The sequence below is a fragment of the Homo sapiens genome, chromosome 6, assembly GCF_000001405.40.
Source record: "Homo sapiens chromosome 6, GRCh38.p14 Primary Assembly".
In the NCBI taxonomy this organism is placed as follows: domain Eukaryota; kingdom Metazoa; phylum Chordata; class Mammalia; order Primates; family Hominidae; genus Homo; species Homo sapiens.
Window position 1 is genome coordinate 138502621 of NC_000006.12, and position 18223 is coordinate 138520843.

Below are 18223 nucleotides of genomic sequence, written 5' to 3' on the forward strand. Positions count from 1 at the left end.
AAAAGAAATGTTCTAATGAACTAGACATGAAAAACTTGACACTAATGCATAATAGCGAAAAGCAGTCCCCCTCTGGAACCATCCTACCCAGGTTACCAGCCACTGACCAGAGGAGTGACCCCTCCATGCCTTGGTTTGCTCATCTGTAAAACGGGATAACAACAGTGTTTATATCACCAGGTCATGATGAAAACTAAGAGTTATTATTGATAAACTCCTTAGAACAGTACCTGGTATGTAAACATACGTAAGTGTATGTTAAATCAATGAATAAAATCTCAAGAGATAGCTTAGCAGCCTTCTGCTTAATAAAGGGCCATGCTTTCATGCAAGGGAATCAGTGTAGCAGACCCCATGGCTGTCTTCCTACTTGTCTCTGACTTAAACTGCCAACACCTCGAGTAATTGCTCTATACCCCCTGCTTCCAATTTATATCCACATACTATCTTTTCTATTGTCTAAGATTTTATTTCAATTTTTAAAAAATTCTCAGTGGTCATCGGTGAATTTCTGACTCCTACTAATGGTGTTTTTCTTTCTCCTCACCTTCCTAATGATCTTCTTAATCATATACTTCCAACCACCCAGCTCTTGATCCTCTTCATTGACACTGCAACACACTAGTTCCTCTCCTGCATATGATGGCTCCTTCTCCGAATTCCAACAAAGTCTAACCAAGCTTCAAAGATCTAGTCCTTAAGCCTTTGTCCTATGCTATTTACTTATTTCCCCTTGAAACTTGAATGGTTTTGTTAGTATAGAGCAGAAGTCAGCAAATTATGACCCTCTGGCCAAATCCGGCCATTAAATGATTTTTTTTAAAGTAAAAGAAGAAGACTATTTCATAACGTGAAAAGTACATGAAATTCAAATGTCAATGTCCAATAATAAAGTTGTAATGGAACACCACCACACCCATTTGTTCAAATATTAGTTGAAATATTGTCTAAGGCTGCTCTTGGGTTGTAACAGCAGGGTTGAGCGGCTACGACTAAGACTGTATGGTCCTCAAAACTGAAAATATTTACTACCTGGACCTTTAAGAGAAAAAGACGGCTGGCTCATGGCTTAAGCTACTGCCTTTAAACATCCTGCTCAACCTTCATTTCTATTATCTTCCATTTGTCTGCCCTCAGTTCCATTTGCTAACCTCTACTCAGATTTCACATTATCTCAAGTTCAACATATCTAATTTGAGACAATCTGCTTTGCCCCCCAAACTGTTTCTCAGGAACTATTTTTACATCTATTAGGACTATCATCTTTTTTTTTTCCTCCATGAACCAGACAGGTAAATTTAATCCCCAGTTAAAAAAGTAAAAACTGAGGCTGGATGTAATGGCTCACACCTGTAATCCCAGAGCTTTGGGAGGCTGAGGCAGGAGGACTGCTTGAGGCCAGGTGTTCAATACCAACCTAGGCAACCCAGAGAGACCCTATCCCCCCAAAAATACAAAAAAAATATTAGCCCGGTGTGGTGGTTCATGCCTGTAGTCCTAGCTACTCAGGAAGCTGAGGCAGGAAGATTGCTTAAGCCCAGAAGTTTGAGGTTGCAGTGAGCTATGATCATACCACTGCAATCCAGCCTGGGTGACAGAATGAGACCTTGTCTCTTAAAAGAAAGAGAGAGAGAGAGAAAGAGAGAGAGAACGTATTCGCTGCCTTGTGTTAGGTGTCCAGGTTAAAAATTAATCAAACATGATCATTGACCTTTGGAAGTTCACAGTCTAGTGGAAAAGACACACCCACACAGATAAAAATGATGATATAAAGATTAAGTCTAGCGAGAGAGAGATGATGGTGAAGTTCCTAGGTAAAATGATAACACACATCCACCTCATTTAAAGGACCACCTGCTATTAGAGTACAGAGAAGAGACTCTTGGGTAAAGCCCAGACCTGGGATGTGGGGAGATATGCTGAAACTTCGGTGAAAGCTCATGGGACAGCCCTGTGGGGAAAGGTGGTGGGGAAGATGGAGAGAGGCAGGGCAGGCCCGCAGGGTCTTGCTTGCCACCGTGGGTGAGTGGTAGGTGGTGGCAAGGGGGTCCCTGATGGAGGATCAGAGGGGAACCTGTAGGGCCAGTGCTGCATTTTAACTAGAACTCTGGTGTCAAATGACAAGTAGGTTTGAATAGGATTGACCAGAGGCGGGGAGAGAAAATGGTGCCACAATCCACACAAAATGTGAAGAGGTCAGAATTCATTCTCAGCTCAGAATAACTTTCTTTCTCTAGAACAACTTGGTTTTATCAGCCTATGTTTCACCACCTGTAAAATGTTTCAGGAACCAAATAAACCTAAAGTATAAAGTTCAAAAAATTAAACCTTGGCCACTTAAATAAATGACTCTGTTACGACCCATGCTTTTATCTTTAGTATGATCTTAAAGTACACCCTCATTATTTTTATGAAGGCCAAAGATTATATGTCTAAACCTAAAAGCTTCTTAAGAGCAGAGCTGTCTACAGCTTCTAGAACTCAGACATAGCCTTGCCCATCCCCGCCCCCATCCCTATTTACACAAACCCACAGGCCCTCCTCAGTGTATCAAATGCAGTTAAGGTACTGAAAGTCTTTATTTGGAATCCAAAAACTTTTTCACAAATACTGTTAAACAATATTGACTAAAAAGGGTCATTTTCAAATATTGTACACAGGAGTTTATGCAGAAATGAGCCATGTTTATATCATATGTACGCATTTCGAATTAGATAAAATTTGAATCTTTGAGCAATTGAAAATGAAACAGGGGCTGGGCATGGTGACTCATGCCTGTAATCCCAGCACTTTGGGAGGCCAAGATAGGCGGATCACGAGGTCAGGAGATCGAGACCATCCTAGCTAAAATGGTGAAACCCCGTCTCTGCTAAAAATACAAAAAATTAGCCAGGTGTGGTGGCACGTGCCTGTAGTCTCAGCTACTCGGGAGGCTGAGGCAGGAGAATCACTTGAATCTGGGAGGCGGAGGTTGCAGTGAGCTGAGATTGCGCCACTGCACCAGCCTGGGCGACAGAGCTAGACTCCATTTCAAAAAAAAAAAAAAAAAAAAAGAATATGAAATATACAATCAATGAAGATCATTATTTTCTTCCAACCTGAAGAGGAGAAAGGGGAAATAAAAGTCAGACATAATAGAGTTCTGCTCAGGGCTGTGTATTAAATGACCGTTTGAAATGCTTCTCAAAGGAATTTAGCTCTTCAAACAGAAAATTTTTCAGGGCAACCTTATCTATAAATGGTGCTTTTACTGATTGTTAATTCATTTTAGGGTGTTTTTAAAAATCAAGTTTAACATCTAGCATAGAAGACTGTATATGACTAAGGTAATTTAGATGTCATCTTTATGCATGGTTAAAATACTTCAAATACGATTTTTAAATCTATAGACACACCCATTCATTCTTATGCTTTTCAGACTCATTGAAACATTGGAAAACATCACAGCAGAAAGCACAACCCATGCATTCTGGGCCAATAAAATAAAATGTACAGAGTAGTAAGGGATTTTAGACATTTCTAAAAATTTACATCATCTACTTAATAAACATTCATAATGTTTTACCAATAGATAAAGATAATTTAGGCCTATCCTGTTTATTAAGGAACAAAATCTTCCTATGTTAACTCTTGAAGGTAAGAATTATGTTTCCTGTTTTTATTAATAGTTTCACATTGAGAGCAATTATGTACAGTCTGTAATTCTTGTCTAGCAAAATAACAGTTTTGAATTATTATTCAAACAATTATTACTGAATTATTGAAGCTGCAAAGCAAACTAGTAACACAGGCAGGTAAATTAATACAGTCAATAAATGTGTAAATAAAATGGCAACTTTTAAAAATAGGGCTGCCAGATAAAACATATGATGTCCAAATAAAGTTGAATTCCAGATAGATAAAAAATAATCTTTAAATATACTATGTCCCAAATATTGAATGGGATACACTTATGCTAAAATATAATTCATTGTTTCTCTGACATTTAAATGTAAGTGGGCATCTTGTATTTGGTTAATCTGGAAATCTTAAAGTACAATTTTAAAAAATTATCTAAGGTCATAGAATAGTAAGAGTTTGATAGGAGTAGCTGGAAGAAGAACCATTGGTTAGTAATAAAGATTTATTCTTCAACAGTTGACATTATTAAAGGAATTTTCAAAAATCTACAGTAAAAGTTAATACAATTATAATTTATAATGTTAAAAATCACTTTATTTGATATGGCAGATTAAAAAAACTACTTAAGATTAATCAAGACAAATTGAGTGGACTTATAAAGTTCCTGCTGCTGGGCATTTATTTTGACTAGAAACAACCCAAAAGATGAATTGGTCACTTGTGCCTTAAGAATCAATCTCTAATTTTTTTGCATCCGGCATTTTTCTTACAGATTACTACTGTTCATTTCTTAGTAGTCTAAATCTTAGATATTTGAACCTTCTATCTTTCTTTGTCAGTTTTAACTCCCTACTGAAGAGCTGCCATGTAAGAGGAATATTAGAGCAGCCACACAGTGGAAGAACCGGCCAGGCATCTCCCTAATCCAGCAAACACTAATGGTGGGCAACTGATATGTTATGTCCACTGATGTGATGAAATACCAAGTACAAACATCACCTATGGTAAATCAAAGTTTTTTTTGACAGGTTAAATTATCCCAGGTTATAGGAAATAAAAGAGCTGGAAGAAAAAGCAAAAGCAATCAGTCTTAACTTAAAGTGGGACATTATGCTGATCTGGCCTCTCCAATAACTTATCAAATAATTAACACTACTACTACTAATAATAATGGGAATGTGCCAGATTAGAAGAGATTTAAAGAACATCACAACATGATTCTGGATGGGATGCTAGTTTTGGATAAACAAGCTATAAAGTCTTTTACAGATAAGTGGAAAAAATTGAATAGACACTGGGTGTGATCTTACACTTATGCTCTCAATTTTTACAGTTGCATAATGAGGTAAACAGAAACACATACACATTTAAAAGGTAATGCAGAGATACTGTCCACAGAATGAAAACAGGAATCTGATAACAGATACTCATGAAGAGTTATTTTAACTGTCCCACGAATGTTATTTCACAAAAGCATGTTAAAAATCACCAATATTCTAGAATCTCATGGGTACAATGACCTTTTCTTTCTTCTGTTTCTGAATTAATCTTTAATGATGAAACATATGACATACTGAAAAAAAGACAAATGGAAATCTCTCTCTTCATCAATTATGGGGTTGGGGGAGTGGTTGGGGACAGAAAGGGGAACCTTAGGAGATGATAATGTATCAATTCTTTAGAAGAAACTTGATCTGGCATCCACTTTGCCAGTTAATTTTGATGCTAGGAAACACCCTTTACTCTGCATGTGCTGAAGCTAAAGGCTTCTGCTGTAGATCCTAGTTAATAATTTAATCCAATATCATTGCTGCCATCGGCTTGGTCAATTTCTAAACATCTGCTATCACTGTGACTGGTTTAGCCAAGCCACAATATTCATGTGACAAATGTTGAACAAACGAAAGGCGAGGCAGACAGAAAACATGCTATGAAAAAAAGAAACCCAAATCAAAAGTCCAAAACACAAAGGGAGCCCTGCTGACACAGCATTCAAAGTTCAACCACGCCTGCAGGAATGGAAGGCTGCAAAGTCGCTCTAGTGCATGGCTGGGATCATCCAGAGACTGTCCTGAGATGTTAGAAATGAGGTCGGGCTAACATGGTAGAGCTTTGTGAAAGGGATGGGTGCTGATGTTGGAATTATTGGTGAGTATGGAAATAGCACAGGCAAATCAAAAAAGGGAGATTTCATAGGCCCCTAGAAAGTTAGAGCTGAAGAAAGTCATAAGGAACATTTAAGACAATTTTACAAATAAGTGACCTGCAGTGATCACAGGGCCACCCAGCATCTGTACTGATACCCCATCTTGTGGTCCAGTTTTCAATTCCATGTGCTACTTGCTGCCTTCAGTAAGGGCCAGTGAGGTGAGGGATCCCACTGTCCACACTCTTTCCACCTCTATGCCTTTGCACATGCTATTAATCTGCCTCGGATGCTTGATCCTCCGCTTACCCACTTGGCATACCTCTATTCATTTTTCAAGTTATAATTCAAATGTTAACCTTTCTTAAGAAGCATTCCTTGACAGACTGTCACTCTATTTCAAAAATATGTCACTTTATTTCAAGGATAACTTCCCCCAAAGTGAGCTATGCCTTTCTTGCAGAAAAAAAATAATTTCATTAACTGTAACCTCTTATACTTGAACCAATTATTCTTTGTGACATGTTATACAGCCCTAATCCATCTACCCAAGTAATACAAATTCATCGAATTCATTCTCAAAGGCTATACTAGGTATATAAAGGCTCATTTCAGGAGAGAAATAATGTATATAAGTAGAGCTACATATTGATGAACTCAACTGTAAAGTTAACTCACTTGGCCTTTCCCAATTCAGTCATTCAAAACACATTTTCTGAATGCCTATAAAGGATCTAGAACATCTTAGAGAATACTTTTCAATCACTTAGAAATTAAAATTTATTTCCTGTGCTATTTATACTTAACATAATCATACATTTACAATAACAATAATTCAAACAATGAATCGAAATTTTATAGAAAAAAATTGATGCAACCTTTCTTCTAAAATCTTCAGGGAAGAAAATCTCATTGTGGAATGAAAAGTCAAAGTATACTATGATGATCCTAGAGATCTAATTTAAAAGAATTGTGATTAGCTAAGTGCTTTATACTCTGAGCTCCCTCGTATTTTTAAAATTGGATAATATCAAGAACCTGTTTGATTGATGGTGTGGTAAAACCTACAAAGAATCTATACTCGAAAGGGATTTTTTAACGTAGAAAAAAATGAGAGCAAAGGAAGACTTCCTAATAAAGACTACCAGGAGAAACTGACAAAATAAAGTAGAAGGTCGCCACCTACAGGGGACACCATGACACTCAACGACACACTGGTGCATGAAAATGATTCCCTCAGCTGTCATTTACAGAAGACAACATGCTCTCATTCATGGTCAAGTCTCAAAAGAATATCCTTGTCTTCCTTCACCAGAGAAAGACATATTCTATGATCCCTGTGCCCTTTTGAGCCTCAATTCGGACAACATTGACATCACACCTTCAAAAAGATTTGTGAATATTCATAAACCACCTAGTGTCTGCAACCAAGCCCACATTAAGGAAGTACCCCTGAGTTATACAAAACATTTCTAAATCAATAAGGGGGCAGCTGTGTTTAACTGAATAACAGAGCTAAGAAAAAAATTTACATCAATTTATAACCAAAAGGTAAAGCCTTACACAAAGGAGTCCAAAAGTGTTTTCATTTGGACTGATGAAGATTCTGAAATCACTCTGTCCAAGAATACAAAATACAACCTAAAATGACTGAAGGCAAATCAGATTTATCACTGTCTAACTTCTTCCCAATTAATAATCAATAAGTATAAAGATTTAGAGAAAAAGGATAGAGTTAATTATTTAGTAAGCCATGAAACAATCGCTGTGAACTTGTGTTCTGAAGATTAACTGGCTGTTCAGTTTTTCTTTTCTCAGTTTCCTGTGATTTCTAATATTGTTTCACATATGGTTAAGATGAATGCTACAATTAATCGGCTGGTGTGCTCAACTGCTTTTGTTAAGAGGACAGCTGGTTCACATGCAAAATGCTAATGAGACAAATTAGACCATTTTGGTTTGCTGATGAACGAACAGCAAGACCTATAGTTAAGTCTCCAGCTGTACTTGGTTTTCTAGTAATGGTAAAGGTTAACCTAAATGAGGATAATATTTTATTTGATTAGTGTTGGATCTTTTCAAAACATTTTTTTCATTGTCCTAAACTACAGAATACACAGCAGCAAAATTCTCCAAACAGCAAAATCACAGGTTCTTATGAAGCATGAGTGCTACAAGGGTTTTAGAATTAATGGCAGAAGTGAGGCATAAGAGCAAAGAAGCTCAGCCTGACCTAAGATGATATTTGAATTCACCTAGAAAGTACAGAACTTCCATTAATGTCAGTTAGCCAAAGACTTTTTAAGTAAATAAAAACCTTCCTATAACCTCAATTTTTCATATTCGTTCACTGATTTTTCTTTCAATTCATATTGAAAAGACCATTTTTAATAAGTAAACATCAAATAAAGGCAAGGGACAAGAACAAAAACATCAATCATTGTATGGAGACATATTGTTTAGTATCTCTAAATTCTAGTACCCTGGTATTTCTAAAGCAAGAATGTCACAATGTAGATTTCTGACTTGATGCCACAGAAGTACCTCCAGGCTTCTGGGTATTCCCTGTTATTAGAGGGCAATACAATTGGGCACAGATGGAAGGGAAGGAAGGTGCATTGATTGCAGATCCCACATAATTTGGCCCACACAGAATCTGAGAAAAAAATCAACCAGGAAGCGAAACGATAATGCTAATTCTAGGTAATGGCACTGACTTTGTAAAAATGATACGCTTAGCTCTTCTTCATCAGCATCATGGAGGCTTGGAACAGAAAGCAGAAAAATAACAATGGCATTCTTCATATCTTAGCAAATAAAATCATATTTGGAAGGACTAAGTAAGATCAGCAGGCTTCCTCGTGTACCTAACAATATTTTTAACTTGCAGCCAAAACTGAAGCTTGGCATTGTAAAGGCAGGTATGGAGATTTCATAATTTGGCCCAAAGTTTGTTTTTTACTAAAGAAAAAAGGTGAGGTAGACAAAAAACCACTGAGAGAGAGAGAGAGAGTGTGTGTGTGTATGTGTGTGTGTGAGAGAGAGTGTGTATGTGTGTGTGAGTGTGTTTTGAAGAAAGTAGGTCTATGGGGTCTCCCAATGTTGCCCATGCTGGTCTCCAACCCCTGGGCTCAAGTGATCTGCCCACCACAGCCTCCCAAAGTGCTGGGATTACAGGCATGAGCCACCACGCCCAGCCACTATAAGAATTTGACCAACAATGAAGACATCGATGTCTTCCTGGAACTAGGAAAAGAAAAATAATAGGCCAGGCAAAGTGGCTGACGCCTGTAATAACAGCACTTTAGAAAGCCAAGATGGGCAGATCACTTGAGCCCAGTAGTTCAAGACCAGCCTGGGCAACATGGCAAAAACCCGTCTCTACAAAAAATACAAAAATTAGCAGAGCACAGTGGCACACGCCTGCCTGTAATCCTAGCTGCCTAGGAAGCCAAGGTTGCAGTGAGCCGAGATTGCTCCACCGCACTCCAGCCTGGGCAATAGAGCGAGATCCTGTCTTGAAAAGTAAGATATCTGAGGGAGAAAATAAACAGGGTCTTCCAATGCCAAGCAGTTTTTCCAAACTTCTCGAAAATTGCATAGCAGCTCTCAGAAGAGTCAGATGGATCCACTTGTATCACCTCATCTGAAACACCTATCTCTTTGTGTGCTGCAATGCATATAAATCATTATGTGATAAAACAAGTTTAAATAAAGCTGCCACAATCAATTCTCATTAGCAAACCATATTTAATTAAGTATACATTTAGGCTGCTGAGGGCAGTTTTAAAATACCTGCACTTTCCCATGCTTAATGTTTATGCACAATCATTTTTAATCAGACAAATTTAATTATCTTATTACAACTGCTTTCTGAAGAGAGATACTCACCAACTGCACCCCACGGGAAAGAGGAATCGGTCACAGACTCCAGACAATATATTACATTCATTATCAAAATAAATCCCAGAGCATCTATGGAGAACTCGTTCCGGCACGATGTCCCATGTTAAAATAGGATAAAATTCACTTCTTTGCTCAGTAACCTCCCTCTTCTTCTTCGTTAATACAATTCTAACTGCTCGTCAACAGGATAACTCTATATTCTGAACTTTCTAGCTTTACTTGAATTGTTTTTAACATCCCCCGACACCAAAAAAGAAAAAAAAAAAAAAACCCAGCCTCTTCTTTCTGCAGCTGCTGAATGCCACAAATAGCTTCTTGTATAATTCGACTTAGAATGCACCCCAAACTAGATGTGTTCAATGGCAACGTGAATGCTTCATTCAGAGAGAAACAAAATGTGTAGAATGTCCTAAAAACATCACAGTGGCAAAGGGGATCATTAAGAAGTCTTGGGGCAGACGACCGCTTTCAGCCCTTGCCTGCAAATTCTTCTCAGGTCTATGCACATGGCGAGAGAAAGGTTTCAGAAGATTCCCACAGTGATCAAAGGAGGAATCGCTAATTCCCCTCAGCCTGCCCTGTCTAGATGGGGTTTTCCCCGGTGTTACCTCCCTTCTCCACAACTAATGTGTTTCTTCCTCCTGGTTTCCTAATAAAATGCACCTACCCTCAATCTGTTCGTGCTCTGCCATCAGTTACCCAGACCTAAACTAACATGTTCATTTAAAATTCGTACTTGATGTGCTATGTGTTCTACACATGGCAGACACCCCCTCTGATATTTCTGGAAGCTCCTGGAGGGCCAGAGCCAACTCCATGCCCTTCACTTTGCACAGTGCCAACCTCGGTGCCATGCAAAACCAGCTGTTGTGAAAATGGATACAATGGGACAACAGGTAACATTCATAGAAATGGGTTGGGAAGGAAAAGAGCCTGGCGAACTTTAAAGCATTCTTGTCACATAGTGCCATAATTTTCTAACCTTTATGAAAATTTTCCTTAAGAAACGCCTTGCAAATACTAAACAAAAATGTCCACACATTTATGAATAAACCTAACATTTATTCATGAATGTAAGTAACTTTTTTTTTTCTTTTTCCAGAGACAGGGACTCACTCTGTCACCCAGGCTAGAGTGCAGATCCCAGTTCACCACAGTCTCCAACTCCTGTGCTCAAGCAATCCTCCCCTGCTTCGGCCTCCCAAGTAGCTGGGATGAGTAACTTTTTGAAAAGTTTCCCTGTGTGTTGAAATTGGATTTTATTTTCTTGAATACCAGATATTTTGGCAATCAAATGATTACAGGGGCTGGTGGGTAAAGGAAGAAGCAAGAGTTATCTTAGTTGCTGTGTAAAGAGACAGAGGGCCAGTGGATTGGCCTTTTACCCACTCTCTTCCCATCATCCTTCGGGTCTCAGATTAATTTGCCATTTCTTCAAGGTCTGAATTGGACTCTATTTAGACCTCCCATTGTTCACTTTCATCGAAACCTATACTTTTCTTCTATATCACTACTACTTGTAGTGATTTGTTCAATGACTAATTTGTTTAATCTCCCACTAAACACATGATCTGGACCATGATACAGAGGCCATGGCTCACTGAACCTACAGCAACAAGGTGCCCAGTGCCAGGTTTGATACACTGTGGGCATGCAATTCATATTATTTTATTAAATGAATGAATTTAATACAGCAGGAAAAGAAATAGTTTACATTACCAACTCTAAAGACTTTATTCTTGGCCAGGCGTGGTGGCTCACGCCTGTAATCTCAGCACTTTGGGAGGCCAAGGCGGGCGGATCACCTGAGGTCAGGAGTTCGAGACCAGCCTGACCGACATGGTGAAACCCTGTCTCTACTAAAAATAACAAAAATTAGCCGGGCGTGGTGGTGAGCACCTGTAGTGCCAGGTACTCAGGAGGCTGAGGCAGAAGAATTGCTTGAACCCGGGAGGAGGGGGTTGCAGTGAGCCGAGATCACGCCACTGCACTCCAGCCTGGGTGACAGAGCAAGACTCCATCTCAAAACAAACAAACAAACAAACAAACAAAACAAACTTTATTCTTAGGATGTTAAAAAAAATACAGTAGTTCTCCCTTATCCACAAGGAATACACTCTAAGACTTCCAGTGGATGCCTAAAACCACAGATGGTACCAAACCCTACATATGCTACATTTATTCCTACACATACATATCCACGATAAAGTTTCATTTATAAATTAGGCACAGTAAGAGATTAACAATAATAAAACAGAACAATGACAACAGTATACTATAGTAAAAGTTATGTGGATGTGGTCTCCCTCTCTCTTTTTCTCTCTCTCAAAATATCTTATTGTGGCCAGGCATGGTGGCTCACTCCTGCAATCTCAGCACTTTAGGAGGCCGAGGCAGGTGGATGGCTTGAGCCTAGGAGTTCAAGACCAGCCTGGGGAACATAGGGAGACTCTGTCTCTACAAAAAATAAAAAATACAAATCAGCCAGATGTAGTGGCTCACACCTGTGGTTCCAGCTACTCGGGAGGCTGAAGTGGGAGGATAGCTTGAGCCCAGAAGTTCGAGGCTGCAGTGAGCTGTGGTCACACCACGGCATTCCAGCCTGGGCGACAACACAAGACCCTGTCTCACACAGCAACAACAACAAAAATCTTATTGTACTGAATTCACCCTTCTTCTGAGGACGTAAGATTAAAAAAAAAAAGTGTCTACATGATGAGATACCACGACAGATCTGATAACTGTGACTGACGGGCAGGCAGTGTCTACAGTGTGGATCAGCTGACCACATCCTGGGCAGGATGGGGCAGGAGGGTGAGAGAGTTCACCACACTTCTCAGAACAGCACACAATTCAAAACTTATGTATTATTATTTCTAAAATTTTCTACTTAATATTTTCAGATCTCAGTTGACCATGGGTAACTGAAACCACGAGAAGCAAAAACTGAGGCTAACAGGAGACCGCTGTAAAATATCTGCAGCCACTAAGATTGGCAGGGAGCTTTTAACTGGAGACAAAAGTTCATTCACAGAAATCAGTTCATTCATCTTCAGCCTCATCTCATTCATTAAGGACTCAACACACCAAACAATACTCTAGGCACCAGAGACATCAAAACAAAGACAACTTTCTCTTATGAAGCCTTCTCTGACTTTTTAGTCTTTCGCATCCTCTCCCCAGGAGGGTGGATTTTTCACTTATTTATGGCTTATCCGCTCCATAATTGTGCTCATTTGTCTTCCCTGCTAGGAGCTGTGCTCCTGGAGGACAGGAACTGGGCCATATTGGCTTTGGAGATGCCAGTAAGTTAGTTGATCAAATGATGCAATAAAGAAATAAACTATCTATTTCTTGTCCATCAGGCATTCTATTGGACGGAAGAAGACAGAATTCAATAAAATGGGAATAAGGTACATTTTAAATTAGGAAGTGCATAACTCTAACGGCTGGAAGTTAATAGTATCGGGGAAAACTTGACGTAGCAGGTGACATGTGAGCTAGGCCTGGATGGGTAGGTAAACGTTTGCTAGAGGAAAACAGATATGAAACACATTCCAACTCAACAAGAGGGCATAAAGAAGACAGTGAATCGTCTGGAGTTGGGAATACTGAGTGTGTGTGTCATGAAGGCGCACGCCGTCTCTCACAGTCCCAGGCAAGTCACCTCCTTGTCCAGTGCACCACAATGAGAGGCTGGGAGTTGGAAACCACATTTCCCAGACTCTTTGACACAGGGGCCTCAGCAGCCGGCCTAGCATTTGCAAAGCAGATGCACATGACTGATGATACAAGTCCTCATTTCCATGCTCCTGCGGCTTCGGCTGTTTCTGCTGCTAAGTCTGACTGTTGAGGTAACTGAAGTCTCAGTGTGCCATCCCTACTTTCATGGAGGTGGGAAGCAAGGCATGTAGTGATCATTTTGCTGGTAAGGTACACAGCTGAGGGAGTGTGGGCGTGGAGTCAAAACCTGGGTGCCAGCTTTGACTGCGGCAGAGATAACAGCTCCTTTGGCCAGCTGAGAGAGCTATGCCTGGGTGTTCAGCTTGGGCCTATTCCTAAAGGTTTTTCCAATGATCATGTAGATACCATATACTCTATTTTAAATCCCCGTCTGCTTACAATGTTGTCTGCAACTGAACGTGCCTGAGACCATCTGCTGGCCTGCTGGGATGACAAAGTGGGGTTTGTGGCAATGGCTGTGGGAGATATGGCTAGAAAAGTTAAGTCATCACTGGTGTCAAGCCAAAGACCTTAGAACTCTCAGTTAGCAATGGTTGAACATCAAAGTTGTTTTGTTGTTGTTGTTGTTGTTGTTGTTAATTTGGGAAAATAGGCAATTCGTGTTTTTGTTTGTTTGAGACAAGGTCTAGCTCTCTTGACCAGGCTGGAGTGCAGTGGTGTGATCTTGGCTCATTGCAACCCCTACCTCCTGGGCTCAAGTCATCCTCCCACCTCAACCTCCCAAGTAGTTGGGACTACAAGTGCATGCCACCATGCCCGGTTAATCTTTGTATTTTTTTTAGAGACAGGGTTTCACCATGTTGCCCAGGGTGGTCTCAAACTCCTGAGCTCAAGCAATCCTCGTGCCTCAGCCTCCCAAAGTGCTGGGATTACAGGCGCGAGCCACTGCATCCAGGCAACATGAAAGTTTCCATGCAAAATAGTCTTCTGTGTTTTAGAAAAACGTTAGAGACATAGAAAACTAAATTTTAAAAATAGACAAAATGTTTAAATCCAAGGTGAACTATAATGTTGATGAGAAAGGGATGGAAGTAAACAGTCTATCTTCTGCACAATGATTTCCCCCATGCCTACTCTTTGGCTGTATCATAACACTTTCTGCCTCTCTTAAGTGTGTTACCTAGTCCAAGACGACACCAACAGTCCAGGAGGTAGGATACTGTCACATTCTGACTCTACTTAGCCTCTGTTCTCACCAGACTCTCTGATTTCATGTTGTTGGAGAATTCTGGATGAATATTTCAGTTCCTGATTATTGCCTGCATTGTCAGACTGATTTTTTTCTACAAGTAGGGTTTGCAGAAACTGGATGGTCATGATTAAAGCCCATGAATGGAAAGTAACAATGACATAAAAAGCTTTCTCTGTATTCATTTTTTAAATGCTGAGTTTTCCCCAATTTTAGTTATATACAGTTCTGAAGTATCACATACATTCTGATAAAGAACATGTAAGATCTAACCACTATCAGTATTTAGGGAAAGAACATCAGATTACTGAAACAAGACAGCCAGTGCCTTGTTAAAGCAGATATGAAAGCAATGTCTGAGCACTTAGAGGCAAACAATAGAATCCAGTTTCATCATATTAATTAAGCAAATCCTATTTATTAAGAGATATTAAGGAGTTCTCAGAATCTCCAGGAGGGCCAGAGGATAAGTTTACCTGCCAATCAGCCAGGACTGTAACAGTGAAACACTGCTGCTGTTGCCACCTGCTGGTCATCACAGAGCATGCGCAAGTGTGGATGCCTACACTTGTGGAGCCACTGAAGCAGCTCCCAGAGCAGGTCAGTGCTGCTGGGCTTGCCAGTAGATCCAGACAACCTACTCAGCTACTGCCTAACATCCCTCAGTTTGTCATCCACATCCAATGAGTGGGTCAGGGTGGCACAGCCTAGGTCACATACCTGTACTGTAGCTGCAAGGGAGTCTGGGAAGCGAACGTTGTTAGTTCTGTGGCTGGTTAGGGGAGGAAGTCAGGTCAGATGGTGGGGAGGGGCAGTAGGGAGTGGGACAGGACTGGAGTGAGAAACTGCTGCAAGATTTCTGGACAAGTTCTTCAGTAAGAACAATTACTAATATAGGTTCCAAAGTCACCTGAGATTTGTGGTCTCTTATTTCAGTTTTGCTTCAAATCCAGAAATACAGTTATTTATTAATACATCTGAACTTCCTGAATCAGAAACTGAAGAGTGTCAGAGAACTCTTTGACTCAAATTGTATCAGTGGCCCACAAGAATTCACCCAGTAGCATTTAACAGTGTCACCTGCTAAGTCTATCAACTCAACACAGTCCAGGTTTGGTTTCTTTCCATGGACTCTCTTTCTGGAGAGCTTTAAAAAATTACAGCAGGTTTTTTTTTTTTTCAAGAGATGCACAAATTCACATTATATAAGAAAAATAATAGAAGTGAGGGTAGAACGTCCACAGGAATGATTTTTTTTTTTTTTTTTTTAGAAAAACCCAGAGCATTTCATGGGTTGTTGCAATCTCACTTCAGAAATTAACAAGTTAAATTAACTCACTCTTCCAGCTAGCCTATATAATTAAAGTTGGAAAAAAACAAAAACAAAACTAGAAATGTTTATGTTTGGCTTTAATTCTTCACTACATACTACGTTCTAATGGGGAAGACAGTAAGAAATCCAAGCACTGACATAGTAACTTCAATAGAACATTCTAGAATGCCACTGAAGGCCAGGCGCAGTAGCTCACGCCTGTAATCCCAGCACTTTAGGAGGCCAAGGCCAGCAGATCGCCTGAGGTCAGGAGTTCAAGACCAGCCTGGCCAACGTGGTGAAACCCCGTCTCTACCAAAAACACAAAAATTAGCTGGGTGTGGTGGTGCATGCCTGTAATCCCAGCTACTCGGGAGGCTGAGGCAGGAGAATCACTTGAACCGGGGAGGCGGAGGATGCAGTGAGCCAAGATCGCACCACTGCGCTCCAGCCTGGGTGACAGAGCAAGACACTGTCTCAAAAATAAATGAATAAATAAATAAATAAATAAATACATACATACATACATAATAAAATGCCACTTTAGAATAAAACACTCCACAGCTAACCATCTAATGGGAAAATATAACTTTTCTGAGCACCACTGCGTAAATAAGCCTCCTCTGAATGACACAGAAAAAAAAAAGCCTTACCATGTGTATAGTAACAACTAACAACTTCAATAGTATTTTTTTCAAAGCATAATTTAGTAGTAGAAATTTAAAAGAAAGTGAATCTTCAAAAAAAAATCTGCTCTGTCACCCAATTTTCCTTTTGATAAAGCAATGACCTTAAAAAAATGTGTTATCAAAAACAAATGGAATTTTTATGTCTCTCATAACTCAAAAATATTTACTTCTTCATAAACACCCAAATATTGTAATAAAAGCATTAAATATTAACATTCTTGTCTTTTTTTTTAAACCAGAGAAATATCTTAGATGAAGAAAGTAATTTGCTACCATCACAATACATGAATAATTTAATATGCAAGGCTGGAATGACATTTGCACAAGATTTTTTTCCCATTGTCCATGATACATCAACCCTGTGAGAAAATCAACAGAGGAGTGGGAAAATCTTGTGAAAAATTTTTACAAACAAGCACAGTGTCTGCAGGTTGCTGTCTGGTGCTAGTTTCTTCTTGCACTTCAGAAAGGATACATCTTCACACATACTTAGGCATCTCTAGCAAGGTAGCTGGAGAAAGATCTAGAACACTTACATGGGCAGTATTTCCCATTCCCTCCATTTCAGTATTCAGATAGAGTTGATTGGCAACTGTTTGTTCCATATTTATATTACTGAAATACTCTTTGTTTTAAAAATACATATTTGAGAGCCATCCCTTAAAAAGTTGATAAAGATGAAGACTAGTTGATCAAAAATTTTCCTACTCCCTCTCAACCTTTTTCACGTTTTATACTTTCCCAGCTGCCTTCAATCCTTTCTGAAACAAGGGGAATACAGGGTTTTTCCCATAACCGTTGGCATTCAGTATACAATTCATTATTGCCCAAATCCAATTGTTATGTGTTCTTTAAGGTTAGTGACAAAGAATAATAACAATAATAACATAATAAGGCAAAACAGATTGTTTTAAAAGAATAAAATATAAATCTACACAGTCTTGGCATATAAAATCATACCAAAATAAATATCAATAACTAACCAATAAAATTTCAAAATTGGACACAGTTCTCCCAACACTGAGTGCTGGAATACGCTGCCTAGTTTAATTCTTTTTTTTTTTTTTTTTTTTTTTTTTTGAGATGGAGTCCCGCTCTGTCACCAGGCTGGAGTGCAGTGGTGCGATCTTGGCTCACTGCAACCTCTGCCTCCCGGGTTCAAGCAATTCTCCTGCCCTCCACCTTCCAAGTAGCTGGGACTACAGGCATGTGCCACCACACCCAGCTAATTTTTGTATTTTTAGTAGAGATGGGGTTTCACCATGTTGGCCAGGCTGGTCTTAAACTCCTGACCTCAGGCAATCTGCCCTCCTCGGCCTCCCAAAGTGCTGAGATTACAGACGTGAGCCACTGCGCCCAGCAGTTTAATTCTTTTTACACTTGTATATAACCTTGACCAAGTTAATCTCCCTCTGCTGGTAAAAATGAGAATATTTCTCAGAAATATTTTCCAAATATTTTACCACAGATACTGCCTATGACAGAGCCTGAAAGAACAACTGATTTCTACTTTTTGTGACAAACACATGGGCTTCAACCAGATCTCTTTGGCCACTGTGTGGAGAACAGATTGTGCATGGACAAGTAAAAGTAGGAAGCTACTGTGATCAACTAGG

At 39.5% G+C, this 18223-nt stretch overlaps 1 protein-coding gene across 20 annotated transcripts in view, besides 1 other annotated feature; it reads right to left on the reverse strand.

Moving 5' to 3' along the window:
* NHSL1 (NHS like 1) overlaps nt 1-18223 on the reverse strand; it is a 271170-nt gene that overhangs the window by 80578 nt on the left and 172369 nt on the right. For 2 of the 20 annotated variants that reach the window (XM_011535973.3, XM_011535969.3), the window contains exon 1: nt 9659-9875. The exons of the other annotated variants lie outside the window; for them this stretch is intronic. In XM_011535973.3, coding sequence (XP_011534275.1) covers nt 9659-9719 — 61 coding nt within the window. In that variant the 5' untranslated portion in view covers nt 9720-9875. Of the gene's footprint in view, nt 1-9658; nt 9876-18223 lie in introns of those variants that run through there. 20 annotated transcript variants of the gene reach the window in all.
* Nucleotides 15396-15565: an enhancer, noted in NCBI's record as "experimental_90625 CRE fragment used in MPRA reporter constructs". NCBI's record gives its function as "activates a minimal promoter by MPRAs in K562 erythroleukemia cells, with activity observed for the non-introgressed 6:138839238 variant allele {active_cell/tissue: K562}" and the evidence as "EXISTENCE:reporter gene assay evidence [ECO:0000049][PMID:34662402]".